Below are 26720 nucleotides of genomic sequence, written 5' to 3' on the forward strand. Positions count from 1 at the left end.
TCCTGACAGCTCTGGAATTTAAGTCCCTCATGCCCTCTCTGAGTGCTCTGTTCTCTGGGCTGAACATCACCTTCTCATGTGCATGGATCACAAGCCTTTTAAGCTGCTACTTAGTCTTCTTAGGCTCAGCGCTAGTTTCTCAATGTATTCTTCAAGTTCTGCCCTGGACCAGACTTGGAGTGTGATATTCTAGATGTAGTCTGACCAGTGCCTGCCGTGGTCTAAGGACTCCTCTTCTAGATTGCTATTTCTTTAGGCCCTGGGTATGTGATATTTCCTGTGCTTCTCCTTATCCACTGTCCGCTGTGTGCTAGGCCCTGTGGATATGTTATTTCCTGGCAAACCTGAGGTAGGAATTGTTATTCTCCATTTAGAAATGACCAGAGGTCCTGAGAGGTGGAAGAGAAACAGCTCTGTCTGAGTTGGTCTGACTCAAAGCCTAGGCCCTTTCCACTCTGGCATGCTGCTTCTCTGTTGTAATTTAAAGCAGCTGGATAATCAGTTCTACACTACTCCCTTGGCTGGGGCTTCTGTTCCCCTACAGCCAGGAGGATTGTTCTTTTTGGAGACAGGAGAAACAGAACTGGAGTTGAGCATCCTTGTTTCCTCTGCGTCACGTCTTGACATTGCACTGCCTTCCACATCAGTGAGTCATTTCTTCCCAGCCCTTATTCTTGGCCTGAGCAGAGCTCAGAGAGCCCTTTCCATTGTCCTTGATTCCTTTTTGCTGTCTTTCTTACAGGTCGGGGCTGCCTTTTAAACCCCATCCTTGGGTTAGGTATGTGTTCTCCTTGCATCTCAGCTCCTCAGGGAGCTCCCCGGGTGGCCCACTTGCTTCCTTGGCTGTCTCTGCCCTGCCTTGAGGGAGCATGCGTGATGATGCAACCAGAAACACGTTTTTGAGAGCTCTTCCCCCCTCCATATGTCGTATATAATAGGGAGCTTGGAGTCATGCCCTTCAGGTCTCTAACATCTTTGAACACTACCTTCTCACAGTCAGTGGTTCCTGGGTCTGACTGCATTAGTATAATCTGAGATAATCTGAGATCCTTGTTAAAAATATAGACATCTGGGGTGTGCTTCCAGAGGGACTGAATCAGGGACTGGGCACTGGGAATTCATGTTGTTTTACAAGTGCTCCAGGTAATTATGAAGAGCAGCCGGCACATGAACTACCACTTGGAAACTGTGGGTCTTGACCGTATGTCTGATCATGTCTAATCTTCACCTCATGGGTCATCACAAACTTGAAAATCTCATAGCCTTCCTCTCTGAAGGTTCTAGTTACTTCTACTCCACCAGCCAGTTCTTTCAGAATTCAGTTTCCTCTCACTGTATCTCTCCTTTCTGAACTATTTATGGGGAGTTAATAGTCAATGTTCAATGAATGAACTGAATCTCAAACAATTTCTAGGACATATGTTTATAAGCAAATTGAATTGGAAATATATTGGATATTTGGCCTTTAGCTAAATGGAACTTCATAAGATGTCTCAGTCACAGCAGCCTTCCATTACTGTTGTGACTTGCCAGTTTGAAATCTGTTTTGTTTTTTATATTACTTTCTTCAGGATCTAATCAGGTGATCCACAGTTGATTCCTTTAGTGACATTGCTTCAATTTCTCTTTTCTTTTATTCTCACTTTCACAGCACATTCCACTGTGTTTCTCTCAGGTTTGCAGATTAAGAGAGGCCATTGTATGCCTCTTTACCAAATAAGTGCTATCTTCTTCCTCATTTAATCAACTTGTTTCTTTGGGACCTTTCCATGGCCAGGGTCCAAGCATGGAGCTGGCTGCACTGAGGCTCTACCTCGTGCAGACTATGATCCTAAGTTCCCAAAGGAGCTTTGTTGGCATGTAGTCCTCTGGCCCATTTCTTGTTGTCAGCTCCCCCAAGGGTGTGTGTGTATCTTCATGCTTGCCTTAACATGATGTTTTTTAAGAAGCCATGATCACAATATAGGGATTTTTTCTTCTTTTGCTCCACATTTAAACTATAATTTCCCTTCTGTACCATAGCCGCTCTCAGGCAAGATCCATATCATTTATGCAGTTGGTCAGGCCCTCACAGAGATCTGCCCTTTTCTGGTCTGAGTAAGGGTTCCAATTAGCAGAAGCACCTCTCTCCTCACCACAGGAAAGCAAATCTGGGGGAAACAGAGGAGCCCAGACCAGACTGAGCTCAGTTTCCTCTCTTGCAGGATTGTTATTTTACATATATATGTATGTATGTATGATAAAACACTAGGCAGCTTTTATTAGAATGCCAATTTTCATATCCAAAGAGCTTACAGAGTAATTCACGGCTGTTAATTCATTGAGTCTCTGAGCACTAGGCCAGACAGCAAAGGCCGCTTTGCAAGACAGCTTCACTTCCTGTTAGAGTCAGTTTCAGTCAGCCCCAGATTTGCACTTGACTCTGTCCCTGTCTTACTGTGTGGCCTTGGGAAAGTTTCTTCCTTCCTTGGAACTCTGGTCCCCTTTCTCGGACTAGCTAAATAATCTTTGAGGGGTGTTCAAGTCACCATATGTGAAAAATGGCTCTTGCAAAACAGGGAGTTGTTCTGTATCCAAGGATTTCCTAACTGAGGCTGACAGTTAAGTCGGTATCTCTCTCTTTCTCTCACCTTCCAATAGGACAGCCCTTTCTTGGCGGAGCACAAATATCCCACTTTACCTGGGAAGCTTTCAGGAGCCACGCCCAATGGAGAGGCTGCCAAATCTCCTCCCACCATCTGCCAGCCTGACGCCACGGGGAGCAGCCTGCTGAGGCTGAGTGAGTGTCCAGCCCTGGTGCTGGTGGCCTCTGAGCAGTGTCCTTGGCACTTTCAATGATTGTATAAGATCCCTGCACCTACCACCACAATCCACAATTGGAGAATGGTGGGGTGGGTGGCTGGAACAAGTTGTACCTTGGGGTGGTCCCACCTCCCCAGAGGCTCCCCCTGGGCGAGCTGTTTTCTAAGGTCAGCACTCTACAGTCTCAGCAAACCAGGGTGTGTGTATCCCCTACTTCTTTTCGGCTGCAGCTTTTCACCCTTATTTCCTCTCTTCTTCTCTTCCTCCTCTCGAACTCTTTCCTGTCCTTCCTAGCATTGTTTTCCCTCCTCTCAGACACCCCCTTCTACCCTTCCTGCCCCTGGTGCTTCCTTCCTCTGTCATTCTGATCTTCTCTCTCCTGTCTCCACCTTCTTCTCTGCAGCTTCCCTATTCCCCGTAGGAGGGTATCATGCACTCCAAGTGGGAGCATTTCCTTAGGCAAATGAAGTCAGTGGCCAATGGGCAAGGGTGTCGGTCTGCAGGTATCCTTTCGGTGCGTAAGACCTGAAACCACAGAGGCTTTTGCTGCTTTTCATTCAAAATAAGCCATCTTTCCCCACCAGCAGCAAAAGATTCAATGGCCCCGGAAGGGAACATTCTGGTCCTGGCAGGGTTCTTCCTGAGGCTCCTCAGCCTCAGCTCTTCCCTGAGCTGGCCCATGCATTGGCCTAGTGAAGGCCAGCTCTGCCGTTGGCTGCAGGAACTTCAGATAAACCCTTGAATGAGTGTGTTCTAGTGACACTCAAACTGGACTCACTATGGCTTCAGATTGTTCTAGTCTGAGCTGAGTGAGCCCAGGCACCTGCACAAGAGCTGCCTGTGGCCTGGAGTATTCAGCCCCTGCTGCTGTCCCTTCCTTTCCCTGGGTGTGGACACCTCAGCCTGTCACAAAGGGGCCCCAGGAACACTTGGTCCCCTCACATGAAACCTCTTCTCAGTGTCAGTCACCACTCACCCCCTCCTTCTCCATGGGATTATTTTTCTTTCTGTTTGAGTTTTTCTCTCTTGCTCGATGACACTCTTTTGTTTATTTCTTTGCTTCCCCGTAACTCTGTTGGGCTGGACTTTGGCCTCTCTTGTTTCTTCATGTGGCTTCTCTGCTTCTTGGTTCACTGGAGATCGTGGCCGGAGTGTCAGTGCCCCCGTATTAGGTACTGTACCCATTCCAGGTGAGGTGGAGAGTGAGAATGCCTTTGTTTCCCTACCCTAACCCTCCCCTTCACCAGCACTCAGCCAGGGACCCACTACTGCCTGCGTTCCTGCATCTCCCTCTGAGGAAAAAGAAGCTGCTTGTTGGAATAATCCACAAGTACTTTGGACCCCAAATCCTTAAAATTAAAGACATTAGCTCACCTAGATTTGAAATATTGAGCACACTAATTTCTCAGCAAGGAAGCCTGGAGTCCCCACTAGTCTCTGGGATCTTGGTATGGAGTTCTGCCCTGAAGGCAGAACTGGGCAGATTCTCTGGACTCCCACTGAAGGGGAGGGCCCAGGCTTGGGGAAGAAGGGTTCCAGGGGTCACATCCTTACATTCACATTCATTGCCTTCTTCCAATCTCAGGAGACACAGAAAGTGGCTGGGACGACACTGCTGTGGTCAATGACCTCTCATCCACATCATCGGGCACTGAATCAGGTCCTCAGTCTCCTCTGACACCAGATGGTAAACGGAATCCCAAAGGCATTAAGAAGTTCTGGGGAAAGTAAGTTGGTGCCGTTGATCCTAATTATATTGCTTAGAATTTTTCTTTTTGATTGGGCAAAGAGTCTATGTAAGCCCCTGGTCCAATAGACACTGAAACAGCAGTCAAAACAGAGTGTTCATGTTCAAAGAGAAGAATCTGAGATATTTTCCAGGGCCAAGAGAAGGAGAAGTATGAAAGACACCCATTGAATATATCCAGTTGCCTTTCATGTCATGCATCCTAAGCACCCACCCATTCCACACACCCTGAACATAATCTCTGCAGCTTATATTACATTGGATCTGGCACAGACACAGATGAGACTGTATTCTCCCTTCTTAGGAGTCAGTCTGTTTTAAGAAATCTTTGAAAAACCTTTGAAAGCCAAGTACTTGCTGGCCCAACTGATCCACTTTGTGACATGAGGCAGAAACTGGGGCCTCCTACAAGGCATCAAACTTTGCTTTGACTTCTATGGCAAGTGACCAAATCCCAGAGGCAGGATCCGAATTGAGGCTTGAGTCTGGCCAAGGAGCTGCGACAGGTTGTGATCCTTGATCTCTGGGAAGGTACGGAGAAGCAGTGCTGCCGAGAGTCCCTGTGCTGGCCTGCATGGCCTTGCAAAAGAGGAAGCACAGTGACTGTAGGCTTTCTGACTATTCCATGACCGTCTCCATGGATTCTTCTCCATGCAGAATCCGAAGAACTCAGTCAGGAAATTTCTACACTGACACGCTGGGGATGGCAGAGTTTCGACGAGGTGGGCTCCGGGCAACCGCAGGGCCAAGACTCTCTAGGACCAGGGACTCCAAGGGACAGAAAAGGTAAGGCTTGACCCACTTTCCTTTGATCTCCCTGCTCTGAAAAAGAAGTATCTCCCTTCAAACCTGCATGGGTGAATCTTTACTCCTGTGTTTTGCGGAAACCCCTTTCCATATTCTCTTCCCCAGTCAAGCAGTCCCTACAGTACGTCATTTCCAGCACAATATCTCCTAAGTTCTGAGTTACTCAGCCAAGATCAGTACTCCTGGAGGTCTTCCACAGGATTGGAATGTGACATTTTATATCTAACCAAAAGGCAAAAAGTAAGCTGTAACTCTCTTCAGTTTAGTCACCTCAAGATTGCCATATACCAATGCAGAGTACAGGTAATTACTGGTTATGATATGTATCATTCAGATGTCCGTTCTCAGAAATAATATAGTCTAGATTCCAATTAAGGAAGAAAAGCATTTCCCTAAATGCATCATATTGTTTGCAGACCTGCATCCCCTGCGGAAGGGAGTCTTAGCTTATTTTGCACATGGATATGATACTGCACTTCCCTGGCTTGCCAAACAGGTTTCTAGTCTTACCAGGTCCTCCTCGTGCATGAGACCTGGGACCTTTCCAGATCCATTTATTCTTCGATGAGTATCCCCAGACTCCAGGAAGCTTGAAAAGAAGCATGAGAATGTGTAGACCATTAGCTTTTAGAGGCTAGAGAATCTAAGGACATAGTCTAAGTAAGTCAGAGACCAATTCAGAGCCCTTAGAAAGTGAGCCAGGGAAAGCTTTACCTGTATATTCAATAATTAGATATTCTAATTTACTTGGCAATTTTCTCAATGTAGACATTACTGTTGTTTCTGATTTATCTGAGCTGAAAAAAAATCAAGCTATAGTAAGCTTGAATGATTGATCTTTGTTTTAATTCTGGCTAGTTCTTGAAGGATTGACTCTAGAAGGGGAATCATTGGGTCAGGGTATAAAAACTTTCCTAAGACCCCTCAGCATTGTCCCTAGAGTAGGAGAGCATGGTTAGGGAGCTATCTGTATTCTGACAGTCACTTTAGGGTATGGGGTGACCAGGGTCAGTAGCTTTCTTTGCCAAAGGAAAAAACTGCAGTTCCAGCCACAGGCTGCTTTGTTCAAATGTCTTTGTGCTTTATGAACCGTAACAGTGGATGAGAAAGGGAAGACGTATGAAGAAGTCCTGATGAGATTGTTATGTTTATCGTAATGGTGCAAAATGAATTTGCTCGTGGAAAAGAAAGGCCTTGTGACTCTTAACTAGAAATTGATATATGTTAATGTCCTCTGGTGATATTTATAATTTCTAGATATTAATATTTAGGTGTAGCTTTAAAACTGTTGTTGCTAGTATTCTTTAGGAAAAGTACTTTGATACTGAAAGCCTCCAGCCCCAACCTTTTTTTGTTCAATAAAACAATTGATTTTTTTTTAAATATGATATTTGATAACATTGTGTAGGCACTCTCTCTCAGATTATGGATGAACACATTTTATTTTCTTTCTTCTCCCAGGTAAAGTTTTACAGAGTTACATTCCAGTCAGCACTGCTGGACAGAGTGCGCCTATTACACCCACATCCTTGTCAGCATTGAGTAGTTAAATTTTTCTTTTTCAAAGTTTTCTACTTTTATGAACCTCCAAATTTCCTTTTTATTGGTAATTTAGTTTTCATGTTTGTCCTTTTAATTCTTTTGTGAATTATCTGCATTTTTGTTCATTATTATTATTGTATTTCTTATAGATTTCTAACTGTTCTCTATTAAGATATTAAGTCATGTCTAGTAATTGTGACAAAGTATTTTTAGGTTTGTAGCAGAATTTTACTTTTGCTTCTGATACTTTGATACATGGAATTTTTATGTTTATATAGAATTAGGTTCATCCACTTTGTGAATTCTTTCATCATTTTGTTTTAAATTTTTTTCTGTGATTTTTAAAAACTTTGAATAATCCATTTAGGAATTATTATAGTTTGTGAGTTTATTATGAGTTACTATTTTTGAGAAAAAGGCAGTAAAGTATAATGTTTAAGGCAAACAGGCTCTAGAGCCACATGGCTGGATCCCACCTTTGCGGAGTGTTTTTTTCCTGAGTTGATCTACTGACTGTATTGCCCTTCAGGACTCCAGCTTTAGGAGAGGTCCCCAATCCTACTGCTCCCCTACCCTGGGCCCCATTTTGTTTCCTTTTCCTACACGCATGGTGAGTCAGATTCATCATGAATGTAAAGATGCTTAAGCTTCAGGGACCCTCCTTTGTATGGAGCCCTTCCAGGGTCCAGAGAAAGTCTGATCATAGTGTTAACAGGGCCAGGTGTTTTGAAAATTTTGCCTAAAAAAGGTATTTTAGGCCGGGCGCGGTGGCTCACGCCTGTAATCCCAGCACTTTGGGAGGCCGAGGCGGGCGGATCACGAGGTCAGGAGATCGAGACCATCCCGGCTAAAACGGTGAAACCCCGTCTCTACTAAAAATACAAAAAATTAGCCGGGCGTGGTGGCGGGCGCCTGTAGTCCCAGCTACTCGGGAGGCTGAGGCAGGAGAATGGCGTGAACCCGGGAGGCGGAGCTTGCAGTGAGCCGAGATCCCGCCACTGCACTCCAGCCTGGGCGACAGAGCAAGACTCCGTCTCAAAAAAAAAAAAAAAAAAAAAAAAAAAAAAAAAGGTATTTTAAACACAACCAGTTTTAAGACTGCTGACTATTTTTACTGCAACTTTCCCTTGGTCTATACTTTTCCTTGTAACAGATGGTGTTAGGGCAGCTGTGGGGGTTTTGGAGGACTTGCTAAGGGGAAGTTGACCTGGGGATCCATGTAGTTTGGGTTTAGGGGGGTATGTGTGTGCATGTGGTTTGCAGTCACTGCATGTTTAGTTTTGTTAGGTTTAATTCACTAGCTTTCCTACTGCACAAATGGCTTCCAGGATTTCTTCTACTTCCCATTGTGCCGATTCGCTCAGTGCTCTGTACTCACTAATGAACTGTAAATTATAAATGTGCCATGTGCTCTCCCCCTACTGTGAGAAGAGCATATTTGAGAAATCTCAGCTACATCATTTGAACTGCAATTTGAAAGGATGTTTTGGAATGTGTCAACAAAACAAATGGTTTGGCTGTATATGAAGGGTATCTTCTCTGTCATCTCCAAATTATTTCCCAGCGTGTTCAGTGGTGCCCTGGCTGAGGATATGGGAGATGCTGGCACTGAGAGGAGCTGAGGAGGAGGTGCAGAAGCTGGGTCTGATTCTGTGTGAACACCTCAAGGCTTAGGAGGGAGGAGAGGATTCGCAAAACAAAAAATGGGAAGACTACTGGAGATGATGCCCAGAGCTCTAGGTGGTTTTGAAAAGGTCGATAGCACAGAGGTTTTCCAATTATGATCTCAAAAACACTTATTTCCCCTTTAGAGCTGAAATGTTAGGTTCACAAAGACTAGGCAAAAAATAAAAGTTAAAAAATTTAAAAAAGAACTGAAATGTCCCTCAGATATGTTTGTTTTTCCCACTTCCAAGAAACAAGGAAACAAATGAAATAAAAACCAAATATAATATAAAACAAAAGTGATAAAATGAGCATTGAAATTTGAGAGAAATTATTCTTTCTTACATTAAAAAACAAATTATAAACAAAAAATCCAGATCACACCAAAAGCAGTAATTTGCTAAGAGCAAGAGGTAAGGTTTAAACAAAAGGAGTGAGTAGCCCTCTAGATTGTTGTTCATATAAGATGAATGATATGAATCCATTGGGAAAAGGTTGAAATTTCTTGCTGAGTTTACATGATGTACTGACAGTGACAAAGATAACATAAAACTCATGTACTGCCGCAAGGACATAGACAACACATGAGTTAAATGAACTTTGTCAATTCAAAGAATGTTTAAGATTAGCCATAGCGTTAGAAAACTTGAATGCGTTATAGTTTTACAACTCACATATAAAAGACATTTGATAGAGGCCTTTCTAAATTTAAATGATTCTAAAAATGTACGTGACAATACCAGTTATAAATTGTGAAGATAAAACTTCTTAACTATTGTCATAGAAGATAAATATTGATCAGTCATGCTAGAAGAAAGACTAAATCAACCGTCTGTTGTCATAGAATATATTATAAAGTTGTGGACATACAAAGAAGCAGTCAAAGAGTATCCACCCAAAATACAAGAGTAAAGAAGTACTATAGCTGGATACAGTAGCTCAGACCTGTAGTCCCAGCTACTTGGGAGGCTGAGGCAGGAGGATTGCTTGAGCCCAGGAGCTCAAGGCTGTAATAAGCTGTAATTACATCACTACACTCCAGCCTGGGCAGCAAAGCCAGACCCCATCTCTAAAAATAATTAATTACTAACACCCTGTCTCTAAAATAAATACCCCATCTCTGAAATAACAAATACCCTGTCTCAAAAAAGAATCAAACTATAGAGGTACATCAAGATTTTATATAATGAAATATTTCTAGATTTTGTGATTTTTTTTTCAGTTTTGCAAAACTTGCAATTTTTTGTGGCTTGTTTTCTAATTCTAAATATTCCCTTTGTTTCTAATTGTATATTCAAATTTTATACTATTTTGAAGAGAAAGTTTGTAAGTTCCAGGCCTCGTAAAATATTTTCAGGACCCATGAAAGCCCAGGTTCCAGATTATGATTGATCAGTCCCTGCCCCAGGGTATACATTATCTCTAACATTTGATCTAAAATGGGGCATTCTTATCATGCTTATCCTTTGAGGAATTCCCTCACTTTAACAACAGCTCAACCAGGCATTTAAAAAAATATGTTTTAATCTAATATGTTAGGGGTACTTTGAAGGAATCTTTCTGGTCTTTGAAGGAATATCTACGATATTCTATAAATCCTCATTTATGAACATAAAGTTGCTCTGTCGAATCCCCCCTAAAAAAATGACTCTATTGGGATTTTTAGTGTGCTATTCACACTTTAAATGAAAAATGGATGTCTTTAAGAATTGATGGCTTTATAAAACCCAGTCATCCTGTCTAGGAACATAATCTAGCTTTTCATTTATTCATGTCCTTTTTTATCTAGCTCAGTTGACTGCTGCAGTCAATACCTCTCCCCACCCCCGCAATCCCCACACATAATCACACAAGGCCAAACATCTCTTGTTAAGGCAATTCCTAGACGTTTTATAATGTTGGTTGCTATGAGTGGGATTTTTAAATTGTTTTAACAGTAGCATTAGTATCTGTGCATTGATGGTATTAGAAAATTATTGATCTTTGTATGTAACATACGTTACATATGTTTATATGTGTATTTCGTAAGTGGCCACCTCACTGAGCTTTCTTGGGTTTTCTAAATGGGCAGTCCTGACATCTGTAAAGAATGGCTTTATTTCTGCCTAATAGCTATACTTCTTGTTCTTATTTATCTCTAATACTGGCTATGACTCTCAGACCAGTGTTGTTAGTACTGATGAAAAATATATTGTCCTTTTATTGACTTTAATGTGAATGTTCCTCCTGTTTTGTTAATAAGTAATGTGCTAGCTGTTGTTGATTGGCAAGTTTTTGCTTTTAGTTTTGGGTGTTTTGTTTTTTTTCTTTTTAATGTTAAGAGAACTGACCCTCTTAAATGCTAAGAAAAGTAGTTTTCTAAGCATTTTCCTAAAAAGATGATTCCGCCTAATGAGGCCACAGCTCTGGACTTGTGGCATGTATATGTGTGTATGCGGACCTAGGACATGTGAACATGATCTCAGGAGGGCCATACAGGCTGCCCCATTCTCTAAGTAGCCTGAGATTTGAAATTCAGATCTTGTGTTATTAAGAAAACTCTAGGGTCTACCTCCTATGAGTGTGTTGTAGTGGAATTTTGTTCAGCAGAATCCCATGATGGAGGTTGTTTGTTAAAAAACAGGTTTTTTGTTTTGTTTTTTCTTTTCTTTTCTTTTGTTTGTGAGACATGATTAGATTCAGAACCTCAGGCTCTCCCACTAACAGGAATATGCTGTTTTCCTGCTTCCCAGTGACGCCAATGCCCCCTTTGCCCAGTGGAGCACAGAGCGTGTGTGTGCATGGCTGGAGGACTTTGGCCTGGCTCAGTATGTGATCTTTGCCAGGCAGTGGGTATCTTCTGGCCACACCTTATTGACAGCCACCCCTCAGGACATGGAAAAGGTAAGGGCTCAGCTTGGGGAGAGGAGGCTCCCATTTCTCCCCAAAGCATGGGGAGGCCAGGGTCCGCCACTCCTGTCACACATACACACAGGAGGATGGATGGAGGAGGCTGAGAGTTCCTCTGTAGCTGCAGGTTGGCATCCCAGGGCACGGTGTGGAGATACACTGCCATACTCAGAGCATCTCCACCCAGACACAGCTTTCTCTGAGGGCCAAATTGCCTGCCAAAATTTCACATGTGGTCTTCATCTTTTAATTTCAGGAGCTAGGAATTAAGCACCCACTCCACAGGAAGAAGCTTGTTTTAGCAGTGAAAGCCATCAACACCAAACAGGAGGAGAAGTCTGCACTGCTAGACCACATTTGGGTGACAAGTAAGGATAGGCATATATGTATTAAGAATGTCTCTGGCAGCAACTAAGAGTAGAAAGAATTTTCCTGTTAAATGGGTACCTCAAGGACAGCTGTCTCCTTGTAAAAAGCAGAGGAATTACTAAACTTTTGGGGGAATAAAACGAACCTCAAAATATAATTTGCTCCCCTTTTTTTGGTGTCTACATTCTCTCATTCTCATGAATCCTGACACATCTGGGGTTTTTGTATTTGTAGGGTGGCTTGATGATATTGGCTTACCCCAGTACAAAGACCAGTTTCATGAATCTAGAGTTGACAGACGAATGCTGCAATACCTAACTGTGGTGAGGACTTTTTCTTTAAATATTTCAGTTGTCCCTGTGAGCACTCAGCTCACGTGTACCCATGGTGGTTATTTTAAACTTGATTCCATATATTCTTAAGGCCTTGAAATAGTATCATTTGTCACAAAAGAGGTCCCAAGTAGCAGAGTACAAACCACTGTGATAAGCTATTGGTGTCTCCACGTGCACCTTCCTGAGATGTGGTTGACTTGTCTATGCTTGGTCTGGTGAGGGACATCAGGGGTCTTTTGTCACTTTGGAAACTCTGGTTTATAAACCAAACTTTCCTCTTTCAGAACGATTTACTCTTCTTAAAAGTCACCAGCCAACTACATCATCTCAGCATCAAATGTGCCATTCACGTGCTGCATGTCAACAAGTTCAACCCCCACTGCCTGCACCGGCGGCCAGCTGATGAGGTGAGACCACAAATAGTATCTCTCCAGGTAGCCCTGAGCCAGGACCCCTGAAACATCGAGCATGAGCAAACAAGAATGACATCATAAAAGCACTGTTTTTTGCACCATGGTGCCTGGGATTCTTTTGTTTGCTTGTGCTTCCTGTTGCCCCAAACATCCGTTACCTGCACTTTGTGTCTCACAGTAGCCATAGACCTCTAAGCTCCCACCCTCCACTGGGGAGACACATGCTATAAAGTCATCATAGTGATTAAAGGAGATGAGGAGATGGTGCAAAGGAGAGGGGGAGGGAAAGACAAAATGGAAAGATGGGTGTCACAGTAGAAGAGAAGAGAAGAGACAGAGGAGGGGGAAGAGGAGCCCGTAGAAGCTAGACATTTCAGAATAGGTATCCCTACTTGTAGATCCAAAATTAACTGACTTCCAGGCCCAGGTACAGGGGATCCATGAGTAGTCTTGCTAGAGAAGAAATAGTATACGTAAATAACAGCACCCCAAGTCTTGAAGAAATAACTGATTATGTTCCATGAACTTCGGAGTTCTTGGTGGACCCCCAAACTGAAGATTGTCAGTCACATCCTATCTCCTCTGTTCCTGGGAACTAGGTCTAACCTTGCTGTAAAATTAACTCAGCTTCCTGGGCTGCTACCTTTGCTGTCTATCTCCTATTTTCTCCTTATTCAACCAACATGTTTTGAATGTCTTGTATATGTCAGGCACAGCGCTGTGCATTTTTAAGACCACAGTGCTACGTGAGAGCACTTAGGAATAAGTACCTTAAGGTGTGCTCCCCTAAAATCATTGGCCACACCAGGGAGATCTTTCATCTATAAACCACTTGGATTGTAAAATTGACAGTCATCTTTAAAGTTCTGTTGAATCACTGAAAGAATAACTATAATGTCCTCATTTATTTGTCTCAAAGTTAGCTGGAAAATGATGGAGTAACAGAATTCTGGATTCAGATATCTCAGTGTGGAAGATCTTCAAAGATTCAGTGGGAGCTCTATTTCCTAGAAACTGGGGAGGCTGGTGCTCTGGCAGATGGGGTGGGTCACTAAGCTTGAGGGCCTTCTATTGTTGTGATGCGTCTGGGGCAGGGTTACTTACCGGGGCTGACTCCACAGAGGACCATGGTGGGACCTATTAAGCCTAACTTCCTCACTCTCCTTCTCCCTCTGACAGAGTAACCTTTCTCCTTCAGAAGTTGTACAGTGGTCCAACCACAGGGTGATGGAGTGGTTACGATCTGTGGACCTGGCAGAGTATGCACCCAATCTTCGAGGGAGTGGAGTCCATGGAGGCCTCATTGTGAGTGGCTCTCTGGCCTAGCCCACCTGCCTTGGTGCAAATGGGATATTCAGAAACTTATTTATTAAGGACAAGGCACAAAAGCTAACGAAAAAAAATAGGTACTTCATCTGGAGGTCTTGCATAATTTGATGTCTCAAAGTATTTTGATAACTTGTCCTTGAGAATTAATATACCTCATGGAAGCAAGATGCCTTCTGGCAGCACCTCCTTGGCATGAGACTTGAGGATTCTAGGTCGATGGGTTGCATGGAGACCAACGCTTACAAGGCGAGGGAACAGCAGGGCTGAGGAAGGGACGGGGAAGCCGTAAAAATGCAGCTTCCCACTTGCTGCAATAGGATCCCTATCACTACTCAGATCTGTCAGTGGCAAAGCCAGAGGGGAAATGAGGAAGTGTGGTGGCTTGGATGTCATCCAGAGAAGATCCTGAGAGACAGCCTCACCAAAGAGGTCCCAGTTCTCTGCTGGTCTGTGAAAACAAGGTGGTCAGTCAGCACATGTGCTAGTATGTGCTCAGAGCCAGGCCCTGTGCCAGCCAGTGAGTGGAGTGGGACTCAGAACAAGTGACTGAGCTCCTGTCCCTCCTCTGGAGGCACCCCCAGCCCCAACAGGCCAGTCTCTCAGCATCCTCCCCCTCGAGCCATTTGTATTTGCTCCTGGCCAGGCTTGTCTCTGGTTCCTTCTTAGATCCTGGAGCCACGCTTCACTGGGGACACCCTGGCTATGCTTCTCAACATCCCCCCACAAAAGACGCTCCTCAGGCGCCACCTGACCACCAAGTTCAATGCCTTGATTGGTCCGGAGGCTGAACAGGAGAAGCGAGAGAAAATGGCCTCACCAGCTTACACACCACTGACCACCACAGCCAAAGTCCGGGTGAGTTGCAGAGCCTTTCTGGGTGGGCCCTGGGCTGCCTCCTGGCCCTCACGCAGCACAGCACCTGGCGCGATGCCCACAGCCAGAGCAGCATGCGCAGCCTGGACAAAGAGGATCTTTCAGCTTCTGCTGTGGGCTTGTGGTCTGTGAGGCCAGTCTTTGTTAAGCCAGTTCTCCACCAGTTTGGAGTCCAAGGAAGACAGTGCAGGTTTCTTTACCTAGAAAATATGTGCAGGAAGCACCTATCCTCAGGTGGCTTAGAGCTCGTCCTCTACCCCACTGCTGCTGTGACTCACCTTGCAGAGCGGAAGCGCTCCGAGTCTGGCTTTCCTTCGGTCAGGCCTGCCTGCGTGCCGCAATGCCGTGGGATCTTGGTCAAAGCTGTCCTGCTGATATAGGAAGTGCTTCCAATGGAAGCTGGTTCCATTTGTCTTGTTTCGTGAAGTGGCCAGCACACAGATACCCAGAGGTCCCCAGGTCTTTCAAGCACCAACACTACTCACTGGGGCTCCCAGAATCCCACAAAGCCCTTTAGACCTGCCTGAGCCACAGCATCCTCAGACCACATTCTTCCCAGACTACAGACCAACAGGCAACCTCTGGAGGCCAGGCTGGTCCTATCCCTGGTAGTGTTGATGCTTCATGCCCAGCTACAACTCAGGCACAGACCTCCTTCCCCAGGGGAGCAAGACAGGAAGTATGTCTGGGGGAGTCAGGCAGAAACAGTGCTGGATGACGCTAGGGCAGGGAGCAACCTGGGGCTATCCTACGCGCCTTTAGATGGTGCCAGGTGCTGAGATGGGAAAGGGTTGGGGTGCCAGCAGCTGTGCTGAGGCAAGTTCTCTGTGCTTCGCCTCAAATGCAGACCTCAAGTACATTCTAAAGGAACTCCCAGTTCATCTATGGAAATAAGAAAGTCACTTTGGTGGGGCAGCCAGGCATGAGTTTCAGGCATAGTATTGGAGGGGCAGCTCTTATTGTTCAAGATTATTTACCTATTGGCCTTTCTGCAGCATAGAAATTGCTTCCAAGAGCTCTGTTTTGTTCAGAGTCTTTCTAGGAGCAGTTTACATTATTCCTCTCCTTGAGTGCCTGCTCTTAAATTTTAAGTATATTGTCAGTCATACCTGCACACTGCCTTGATTGCCTTCTCATAATCTTGCATTTTCTGTGTTTTAGCCAAGGAAACTAGGATTTTCACACTTCGGAAACATAAGAAAAAAGAAGTTCGATGAATCGACGGACTACATTTGCCCAATGGAGCCCAGTGACGGTGTCAGTGATAGTCACAGGGTCTACAGTGGCTACCGGGGCCTCAGCCCCCTTGATGCCCCTGAACTGGATGGGCTGGACCAGGTGGGACAGATTAGCTGATGCCCTTGTCACCTGCCCTCTGTGCACCCTGAGAGCTCACAGTAACACTGTGTGTGTCACCATATAACTGCACCTCACCCCCGCACGTGTGCATGACTCGCAGAGAATATTCCAGCAATTGTGTACCCCTGGGCCAGTCTCTTTGAACCCTGAGGGTGGCCAGGATCTGGAGCTGCATCTCTAAGGGGCCAGGCTTTGGGGACCATTGCCAAAGGTGGACTCAGGAGGAAAGACACTTAAAGACACTTTTACATGTCTAGTAATTCTTGATGTTCATCTTCAGCACCAGTGGAAACACATGAACTTCGATGCAGGTCCAGAGACCATGGACACTCCCACGAGGCTCAGCTCTCAGGCACCCCCTACACTTCAGTTGAGGGAAAAGCTCAAGTGCCTTAGGCCCGTGGACCACAGTCTTGGCTGAGATCAAAGGGATGAGCAACAGGGACTTCTGCCACAGTGACAATGGAATTGTGTTGTGCCTTACTTCAGAGGTGGTCTCTTCTTTCTTGTAATAAAAGCAATATTTATGCGGAAAGCAAGCAGCTCACCATATCTTTAACTTTGTTGGGGAAAAAGAGCTGAGGGTAGCTGGAAATGGAGTCCTACGGATTGCAGAGCTGAAGAGCCGGTGGCACTGAGCCTAGTCCTCAGCCAGGTGCATGCTCAGGATTCACCAGGGGGGTAGAGCAAGGCGGGACCCCCTCCCATAGCCTTCAGAGGAGGTCCGTGGCCGCACTGCTTCAGAATTTGCTTCCCTCTGTGAAGCCGAGGGGGCTTCAAGTCTCATGCACATCCTGACCATAGGGTCCATCTGTCGTGCAGACCTCAAAGCTGAGTGCTTTCAGTGGCATGAGCCCCCCCAGTGAAGGGGATGGTGGGGAGACAAGAAGGCACCTTGCTGGAAAGACTCTCTTTCATGTGTTTTGCTGGCTTCTCTATTACTGACTTAGCTAGGCTCATAACCATGGTGGGGGCTGGTCTGTCTGCTGGCAGAACTGAAAGAGATCTGTCCCCTTGATTTAGAGGCTGACTGACTGATAATGACTGATAATGGCTCCTCCAGATGGGCCTTGTCTGGCTGGGACTGAGGTAGAGATGTGCCTTGCCAGTCTGGACTCCTGGTCAGAAGACTCTAGTTTGCCCCCAGGCAGTGCTTGGCTCCCCTCAATCCCCTGGGCCTCATCGCAGAAGAGTAACACCACGTCACCGCTGTCTGATGGCCTGGGCACGGCCTGATGACTCCATTCCATTGTAGCACTCTGATTCTGTACCAGATGGAGGCTATGCTAAGATTTGCTTCTTAAACTACCAGCAGCCTCAGGCATGGTCTGTTGCCACAGGCCACTGCCTCCTGGGAGGTGAGAGATGTGGGGACAAGCTTGCCAGCTGGCAATGCTGCTGATAGATCCTGGTACCCAGGTCCACTGGATGACAAGTGCTCATTCAGGCTGATGCCTGGCCACTGGAGTTGTAGAGCCAGTCAGGGCAGGCTTTGTCCCTTGTTTCTTATGTTGCGGTACAGGGATCTCTGCATGTGCCTGTTTTCAAAACCTGCATGGAACTGTTGTGCCACTGATTCTCTGCACCCTCAAGTAAGTCCTGTTCCCTTTGTGGGCTTGTTTTCCTACCTATAAAACAAGGGAGGGGTTACACTTGGTGCCCTCCAAATTTACAGAGGATGTTTCCAAATCTACAGTGTCTAAGTAGGTTTAGGGAAGGAGGAAGAGACCAGCATTACCTGAGAAGGAGGGGCAGGAGGGAGGCTCTTGAGTAGTGAGGAAGGATGCCCACCTATGTCAGGGCATTGGTGTCTGAGCTCCTGTTGCCTGGTAGCAGGAGTCTAGCATCCTGAAGGCCTTCATTCCTACTGCTCTCTGCTCCTGGAAATAGCTGGAACATTGAACACGTGCAGAAGGGCTGCTTCTGACAAGCTTGTGTCTTGCCTCTGTGTACCCTGAATGCCAGTTCCCAGTGGGGCCCCAGGAGAGGTATGCATGCAGTGTGGGACATTGATGCCTTTCCCCAGGAAACAGGAGCAGCATGTGCTCCACCCACCTGTCACTCCTCAGGGCCTGGCCCACTCCTTGCCTGTCCCTCCAGAGAAGCATGCCCTGGAGAAGCCAGGCTTGAGCACGACAGGACTTGCATGCCATCTCTCTGAATCACAAGCTGCATCCATGTGTGCTGACCAGGCTGCTGCCCATTTTACAGATGGCACCTTCGGAAGGTACCGTGACGCAGATAGGGCTCCTCTCCCAAGACATTCACCGCCTTACGGTAGGACTCTGACCCTCTCCCCACAGTCAGACTGGTGCCAGGGAGGCCCAGTGAGTTTGGTGTGGTGTGGTGTGGTATGCACAAGGCCTGGGGGACGGCGAAGAATGGTGCTTAGTGCTGGGGTCACAGCCTGAGCCTGAGCCAGCCACGAGGCAGAAAGCAGCCCAGGGGCCTTCTCTGTTGGCCTGTTACTGGACCTTGAGCCCCTAAGGGCAGTGGGGAGGCTCATCGGCTGTTAGCCAAAGCCAGCTAAAGCACACTAGATCTCAGGTCCTCTTCCCAGGCTTAGAGATGAGGAAACCAAGATGCTCAGCAACTCTAGATCACCTGTCTCATCAGCCTAGAGCCCAGGCTGCATCCTGTCCTAGTGGACACTTCCACCCTCTGCCCAGAGACATATGCATTTCCTATCGTGCCTCTGACTTTGTGGGTATCACAGAGTGTTGACAGGCTTGTGAGCACATCCTGGCACGCCCGAAAGGACAAACCATATCATGGGGAAGCAGTTTGGCCTCGAAAAGCAGCTTTGGAGTGAGGCTGAAGTCCCTGCTCTGACTTCACTAGCTCTGTGACCTTGGATGTCATTCTCTCCTGAGCTTTGGCTTAGTTATCTGTAAAGCAGGGCTAATGACATCCTCCTTGCCAGGCTTATAGGCAGACTAGAGCTGGCAGGAAAAGGCCAGCCACAGAGCACAGGATTTGTTTTTGAGGATCCATCACTCCCAAGGCCTTTTAGTTCTTGGACATTCCATCACTGAGCCTATTGGCTATAGTGTCTGTCCCCATCGAGGCCCCTGTCCCTGTACTTTGCTTGCTTGTCTAGCAAGGCCCATTGGGATGACAGGACAAGGACAGGGACACACGACTCTCCTTGTTTTCAAGGACAAAACAGGAAAGTCTCCCTGACTCCAAACAGGATCAGTTTTACTCAACGTTTTTATTTATTGGCCCACCCATGAAAGGAATCTGCCCACACTTGCCCTTATGATCTAGGCCTTTGGTGGCCTGAAAATAGAAAATTTATTTCTAAGATGAACAATTTATTTTTATCTTAATAGTGTTGTTTATTCTGACCCAATACTCAGGGTTTCTTGGGACACTATAAACTTATAGTGCACCTGTGTCAGATGCAGCCCTCACCCAGTGCCCTCTAGTTCCGGTGCAGCTGCCGCAGGGCAGCCTGGACCAAAACTCTATTAAACTGACCCTTCGGCTGTGTCCTTTTCAGACAATGCTGAGCCAGGACCAGCTGCTGAATGACTCTCGCCTGCCTGCCCCCAACTCTGATGACTGGAGATGACTTTCTTCGTGGCTGAGAGCGTAGGGAGGCATGTGTGGGGGCCCCGGAGCCTTTGCTTCTGTGGGGAGCGGGCACACAGCCCCCTCTGCAAGCCCAGTCCGGGCTGGCAGGGTGTCTCAGACAGGCTGCTGACAGGCATGAAGCAGAGCTGTGGGACAGGTGTCCAGGGGTGGCCCCAGGGTCCATGTGTGTCTTCAACCATGCTGCGCTCTTCACCGCAGGCTTCATACCTTTTGTACTTTTATACGTGGACTGCAGACCACTTTGTGGGAGGGCAGTGACATATCAGCACACAGACTCGATGGCTCGTGATATTCCTGGTGACAGCCTGGAGGCTCTCACACTCGAGGGGAAGAGCTGTTAGTTCATAAAACCTGCTGGAAAAAAAGTTCCGAAAAACTGTTTTGAATGTTCTGTAGAGACTGTGTTTTGTGAAATGGTCACCAGGAGGTCCCTCCGGGGCTGCTTCACAGAACGTGCTTTTTCCATTCTTGGGACTGTGGCTGGGCAAGGCAGGTGTTTAGGGTATGAGCGGGTAAAGCAACGAGGCTCCTTACCCACAGCACTGCCTGACTCTATCTCCCGTCATCTGCAAGGGGTATCTGTGCGACTCCCAGCTTGGAGCAGAGGCGTCCCCAACACGTGCACACCCTGCCTTCTGCCTCCACCCAAGCTGACACACAGCCTCCTCCCAGGCCTTGCCCTTGGAGCAGCTCAGGCGTAATGTCTGATTAAATAGCTCCCCCAAGTGGAAGGCCCTTGAGCACCTCAAGCTCCGTGTTTCCACCCCAACTCACCAACTTCCCAAACATGTCTGTTTCCTCTCCACTCTTTAGTCCTTCCTCCCTCCAGGCGTCTGCTCAGGCCCTTCCCTCACTAGGGAATGCATTTTTCTCCTAGTCCCCTTCATGAGGGAAAATCCTGTCTCTCAAGGCACGGCAAAGAGACCATCTCTCAGGAAGCCTTCCCGCATGATCCAGTTACAGGTAGCTCTCCCACAGTGCCGTGTCTGCCCTTGAGCCAGAGCACAGCTCACCTTGAAGTTTCTTGTCGTCTTACCATACCCGTCCTCACCACAAACTTGGAGCACCTGCTCTGCACTGGCTCCTGTAGACAGTCCTCCAGTTGCCAAGGAGATCTGTGCTCCTAAGTTCCTCATCCACCCACTCCTTCGCATGTGTGTGTTAAGAACCTTCCATGCCAGGGCTAGAGATACAGGCATGAATGCCAAGGTCCCTGCCTAAAGGTGCTTACAGTGTAGTGGAGTACAGACCAGTTTCAAACAAGACTCTGCCAAAGGTTACAGATGCTCCAATATTAGTTTCTGCAGCCTAAAAGAGCATGTTGTCATTTTTTTTTTATTATACTTTAAGTTTTAGGGTACATGTGCACATTGTGCAGGTTAGTTACATATGTATACATGTGCCATGCTGGTGCACTGCACCCACTAACTCGTCATCTAGCATTAGGTATATCTCCAGGTGCTATCCCTCCCCCCTCCCCCCACCCCACAACAGTCCCCAGAGTGTGATATTCCCCTTCCTGTGTCCATGTGATCTCATTGTTCAATTCCCACCTATGAGTGAGAATATGCGGTGTTTGGTTTTTTGTTCTTGCGATAGTTTACTGAGAATGATGATTTCCAATTTCATCCATGTCCCTACAAAGGACATGAACTCATCATTTTTTATGGCTGCATAGTATTCCATGGTGTATATGTGCCACATTTTCTTAATCCAGTCTATCATTGATGGACATTTGGGTTGGTTCCAAGTCTTTGCTATTGTGAATAATGCTGCAATAAACATACGTGTGCATGTGTCTTTATAGCAGCATGATTTATAGTCCTTTGGGTATATACCCAGTAATGGGATGGCTGGGTCAAATGGTATTTCCAGTTCTAGATCCCTGAGGAATCGCCACACTGACTTCCACAATGGTTGAACTAGTTTACAGTCCCACCAACAGTGTAAAAGTGTTCCTATTTCTCCACATCCTCTCCAGCACCTGTTGTTTCCTGACTTTTTAATGATTGCCATTCTAACTGGTGTGAGATGGTATCTCATTGTGGTTTTGATTTGCATTTCTCTGATGGCCAGTGATGATGAGCATTTTTTCATGTGTTTTTTGGCTGCATAAATGTCTTCTTTTGAGAAGTGTCTGTTCATGTCCTTTGCCCACTTTTTGATGGGGTTGTTTTTTTCTTGTAAATTTGTTGGAGTTCATTGTAGATTCTGGATATTAGCCCTTTGTCAGATGAGTAGGTTGCGAAAATTTTCTCCCATTTTGTAGGTTGCCTGTTCACTCTGATGGTAGTTTCCTTTTGCTGTGCAGAAGCTCTTTAGTTTAATTAGATCCCATTTGTCAATTTTGTCTTTTGTTGCCATTGCTTTTGGTGTTTTAGACATGAAGTCCTTGCCCATGCCTATGTCCTGAATGGTAATGCCTAGGTTTTCTTCTAGGGTTTTTATGGTTTTAGGTCTAACCTTTAAGTCTTTAATCCATCTTGAATTGATTTTTGTATAAGGTGTAAGGAAGGGATCCAGTTTCAGCTTTCTACATATGGCTAGCCAGTTTTCCCAGCACCATTTATTAAATAGGGAATCCTTTCCCCATTGCTTGTTTTTCTCAGGTTTGTCAAAGATCAGATAGTTGTAGATATGTGGCGTTATTTCTGAGGGCTCTGTTGTTCTGTTCCATTGATCTATATCTCTGTTTTGGTACCAGTACCATGCTGTTTTGGTTACTGTAGCCTTGTAGTATAGTTTGAAGTCAGGTAGTGTGATGCCTCCAGCTTTGTTCTTTTGGCTTAGGATTGACTTGGCAATGTGGGCTCTTTTTTGGTTCCATATGAACTTTAAAGTAGTTTTTTCCAATTCTGTGAAGAAAGGCATTGGTAGCTTGATGGGGATGGCATTGAATCTGTAAATTACCTTGGGCAGTATGGCCATTTTGACGATATTGATTCTTCCTACCCATGAGCATGGAATGTTCTTCCATTTGTTTGTATCCTCTTTTATTTCCTTGAGCAGTGGTTTGTAGTTCTCCTTGAAGAGGTCCTTCACATCCCTTGTAAGTTGGATTCCTAGGTATTTTATTCTCTTTGAAGCAATTGTGAATGGGAATTCACTCATGATTTGGCTCTCTGTTTGTCTGTTGTTGGTATATAAGAATGCTTGTGATTTTTGTACATTGATTTTGTATCCTGAGACTTTGCTGAAGTTGCTTATCAGCTGAAGGAGATTTTGGGCTGAGACAATGGGGTTTTCTAGATATACAATCATGTCATCTGCAAACAGGGACAATTTGACTTCCTCTTTTCCTAATTGAATACCTTTTATTTCCTTCTCCTGCCTAATTGCCCTGGCCAGAACTTCCAACACTGTGTTGAATAGGAGTGGTGAGAGAGGGCATCCCTGTCTTGTGCCCGTTTTCAAAGGGAATGCTTCCAGTTTTTGCCCATTCAGTATGATATTGGCTGTGGGTTTGTCATAGATAGCTCTTATTATTTTGAAATACGTCCCATCAATACCTAATTTATTGAGAGTTTTTAGCATGAAGGGTTGTTGAATTTTGTCAAAGGCTTTTTCTGCATCTATTGAGATAATCGTGGTTTTTGTCCTTGGCTCTGTTTATATGCTGGATTACATTTATTGATTTGCGTCTATTAAACCAGCCTTGCATCCCAGGGATGAAGCCCACTTGATCATGGTGAATAAGCTTTTTGATGTGCTGCTGGATTCGTTTTGCCAGTATTTTATTGAGGATTTTTGCATCAATGTTCATCAAGGATATTGGTCTAAAATTCTCTTTTTTTGTTGTGTCTCTGCCAGGTTTTGGTATCAGAATGATGCTGGCCTCATAAAATGAGTTAGGGAGGATTCCCTCTTTTTCTATTGATTGGAATAGTTTCAGAAGGAATGGTACCAGTTCCTCCTTGTACCTCTGGTAGAATTCGGCTGTGAATCCATCTGGTCCTGGACTCTTTTTGGTTGGTAAGCTATTGATTATTGCCACAATTTCAGATCCTGTTATTGGTGCATTCAGAGATTCAACTTCTTCCTGGTTTAGTGTTGGGAGAGTGTATGTGTCGAGGAATTTATCCATTTCTTCTAGATTTTCTAGTTTATTTGCGTAGAGGTGTTTGTAGTATGCTCTGATGGTAGTTTGTATTTCTGTGGGATCGGTGGTGATATCCCCTGTATCATTTTTTATTGTGTCTATTTGATTCTTCTCTCTTTTTTTCTTTATTAGTTTTGCTAGCAGTCTATCAATTTTGTTAATCCTTTCAAAAAACCAGCTCCTGGATTCATTAATTTTTTGAAGGGTTTTTTGTGTCTCTATTTCCTTCAGTTCTGCTCTGATTTTAGTTATTTCTTGCCTTCTGCTAGCTTTTGAATATGTTTGCTCTTGCTTTTCTAGTTCTTTTAATTGTGATGTCAGGGTGTCAATTTTGGATCTTTCCTGCTTTCTCTTGTGGGCATTTAGTGCTATAAATTTCCCTCTACACACTGCTTTGAATGTGTCCCAGAGATTCTGGTATGTTGTGTCTCTGTTCTCGTTGGTTTCAAAGAACATCTTTATTTCTGCCTTCATTTCGTTATGTTCCAAGTAGTCATTCAGGAGCAGGTTGTTCAGTTTCCATGCAGTCGGGTGGTTTTGAGTGAGATTCTTAATCCTGAGTTCTAGTTTGATTGCACTGTGGTCTGAGAGATAGTTTGTTATAATTTCTGTTCTTTTACATTTGCTGAGGAGAGCTTTACTTCCAACTATGTGGTCAATTTTGGAATAGGTGTGGTGTGGTGCTGAAAAATATGTATATTCTCTTGATTTGGGGTGGAGAGTTCTGTAGATGTCTATTAGGTCCACTTGGTGCAGAGCTGAGTTCAATTCCTGCGTATCCTTTGTTGACTTTGTCTCGTTTATCTGTCTAATGTTGACAGTGGGGTGTTAAAGTCTCCCATTATTAATGCGTGGGAGTCTAAGTCTCTTTGTAGGTCACTCAGGACTTGCTTTATGAATCTGGGTGCTCCTGTATTGGGTGCATATATATTTAGGATAGTTAGCTCCTCTTGTTGAATTGATCCCTTTACCATTATGTAATGGCCTTCTTTGTCTCTTTTGATCTTTGTTGGTTTAAAGTCTGTTTTATCAGAGACTAGGGTTGCAACCCCTGCCTTTTTTTGTTTTCCATTTGCTTGGTAGATCTTCCTCCATCCTTTTATTTTGAGCCTATGTGTGTCTCTGCACGTGAGATGGGTTTCCTGAATACAGCACACTGATGGGTCTTGACTCTTTATCCAGTTTGCCAGTCTGTGTCTTTTAATTGGAGCATTTAGTCCATTTACATTTAAAGTTAATATTGTTATGTGTGAATTTGATCCTGTCATTATGATGTTAGCTGGTTATTTTGCTCGTTAGTTGATGCAGTTTCTTCCTAGTCTTGATGGTCTTTACATTGTGGCATGATTTTGCAGCGACTGGTACCGGTTGTTCCTTTCCATGTTTAGCACTTCCTTCAGGAGCTCTTTTAGGGCAGGCCTAGTGGTGACAAAATCTCTCAGCATTTGCTTGTCTGTAAAGTGTTTTATTTCTCCTTCACTTATGAAGCTTAGTTTGGCTGGATGTGAAATTCTGGGTTGAAAATTCTTTTCTTTAAGAATGTTGAATATTGGCCCCCACTCTCTTCTGGCTTGTAGGGTTTCTGCTGAGAGATCCGCTGTTAGTCTGATGGGCTTCCCTTTGAGGGTAACCCGACCTTTCTCTCTGGCTGCCCTTAACATTTTTTCCTTCGTTTCAACTTTGGTGAATCTGACAATTATGTGTCTTGGAGTTGCTCTTCTCGAGGAGTATCTTTCTGGCGTTCTCTGTATTTCCTGAATCTGAACGTTGGCCTGCCTTGCTAGATTGGGGAAGTTCTCCTGGATAATATCCTGCAGAGTGTTCTCCAACTTGGTTCCATTCTCCCCATCACATTCAGGTCCACCAATCAGACATAGATTTGGTCTTTTCACATAGTCCCATATTTCTTGGAGGCTTTGTTCATTTCTTTTTATTCTTTTTTCTCTAAACTTCCCTTCTCGCTTCATTTCTTTTATTTCATCTTCCATCACTGATACCCTTTCTTCCAGTTGATCGCATCGGCTCCTGAGGCTTCTGCATTCTTCACGTAGTTCTCAAGCCTTGGTTTTCAGCTCCATCAGCTCCTTTAAGCACTTCTCTGTATTGGTTATTCTAGTTATACATTCTTCTAAATTTTTTTCAAAGTTTTCAACTTCTTTGCCTTTGGTTTGAATGTCCTCCCGTAGCTCAGAGTAATTTGATCGTCTGAAGCCTTCTTCTCTCAGCTCGTCAAAGTCATTCTCCATCCAGCTTTGTTCTGTTGTTGGTGAGGAGCTGCATTCCTTTGGAGGAGGAGAGGCGCTCTGCTTTTTAGAGTTTCCAGTTTTTCTGTTCTGTTTTTTCCCCATCTTTGTGGTTTTATCTACTTTTGGTCTTTGATGATGGTGATGTACAGATGGGTTTTTGGTGTGGATGTCCTTTCTGTTTGTTAGTTTTCCTTCTAACAGACAGGACCCTCAGCTGCAGGTCTGTTGGAATACCCTGCTGTGTGAGGTGTCGGTGTGCCCCTGCTGGGGGGTGCCTCCCAGTTAGGCTGCTCAGGGGTCAGTGGTCAGGGACCCACTTGAGGAGGCAGTCTGCCCGTTCTCAGATCTGCAGCTGCGAGCTGGGAGAACCACTGCTCTCTTCAAAGCTGTCAGACAGGGACATTTAAGTCTGTAGAAGTTACTTCTGTCTTTTTGTTTGTCTGTTCCCTGCCCCCAGAGGTGGAGCCTACAGAGGCAGGCAGGCCTCCTTGAGCTGTGGTGGGCTCCACCCAGTTCGAGCTTCCCGGCTGCTTTGTTTACCTAAGCAAGCCTGGGTAATGGCGGGCGCCCCTCCCCCAGCCTCGCTGCTGCCTTGCAGTTTGATCTCAGACTGCTGTGCTAGCAATCAGCGAGACTCCCTGGGCG

At 45.3% G+C, this 26720-nt stretch overlaps 1 protein-coding gene across 32 annotated transcripts in view, besides 2 other annotated features; it reads left to right on the forward strand.

Annotated features, from left to right (window-relative positions):
* Positions 1-26720, forward strand: part of PPFIBP2 (PPFIB scaffold protein 2) — a 153306-nt gene that overhangs the window by 123093 nt on the left and 3493 nt on the right. For 8 of the 32 annotated variants that reach the window (XM_011520413.3, XM_006718349.4, XM_011520414.3 and 5 more), the window contains 13 exons: positions 2641-2779; positions 3942-3974; positions 4388-4529; positions 5207-5335; positions 11296-11446; positions 11709-11820; positions 12056-12144; positions 12441-12563; positions 13749-13874; positions 14565-14753; positions 15933-16109; positions 18342-18407; positions 19636-21050. In XM_011520413.3, coding sequence (XP_011518715.1) covers positions 2641-2779; positions 3942-3974; positions 4388-4529; positions 5207-5335; positions 11296-11446; positions 11709-11820; positions 12056-12144; positions 12441-12563; positions 13749-13874; positions 14565-14753; positions 15933-16109; positions 18342-18407; positions 19636-19707 — 1548 coding nt within the window. In that variant the 3' untranslated portion in view covers positions 19708-21050. Of the gene's footprint in view, positions 1-2640; positions 2780-3941; positions 3975-4387; positions 4530-5206; positions 5336-11295; positions 11447-11708; positions 11821-12055; positions 12145-12440; positions 12564-13748; positions 13875-14564; positions 14754-15932; positions 16666-18341; positions 18408-19635; positions 21051-26720 lie in introns of those variants that run through there. The other 24 variants (XM_047427750.1, XM_005253177.4, XM_047427756.1 and 21 more) reach the window with 9 other exon arrangements.
* Positions 2313-2442: an enhancer, noted in NCBI's record as "active region_4375". NCBI's record gives its function as "activates an Ori minimal core promoter by ATAC-STARR-seq in GM12878 lymphoblastoid cells {active_cell/tissue: GM12878}" and the evidence as "EXISTENCE:reporter gene assay evidence [ECO:0000049][PMID:35858748]".
* Positions 13782-14981: an enhancer, noted in NCBI's record as "CDK7 strongly-dependent group 2 enhancer chr11:7672104-7673303 (GRCh37/hg19 assembly coordinates)". NCBI's record gives its function as "activates an origin of replication core promoter dependent on BRD2, BRD4, P300/CBP, MED14 and CDK7 cofactors, with strong dependence on CDK7, by STARR-seq in HCT116 cells {active_cell/tissue: HCT116}" and the evidence as "EXISTENCE:reporter gene assay evidence [ECO:0000049][PMID:35650434]".

This window comes from Homo sapiens, chromosome 11 (genome assembly GCF_000001405.40).
Source record: "Homo sapiens chromosome 11, GRCh38.p14 Primary Assembly".
In the NCBI taxonomy this organism is placed as follows: domain Eukaryota; kingdom Metazoa; phylum Chordata; class Mammalia; order Primates; family Hominidae; genus Homo; species Homo sapiens.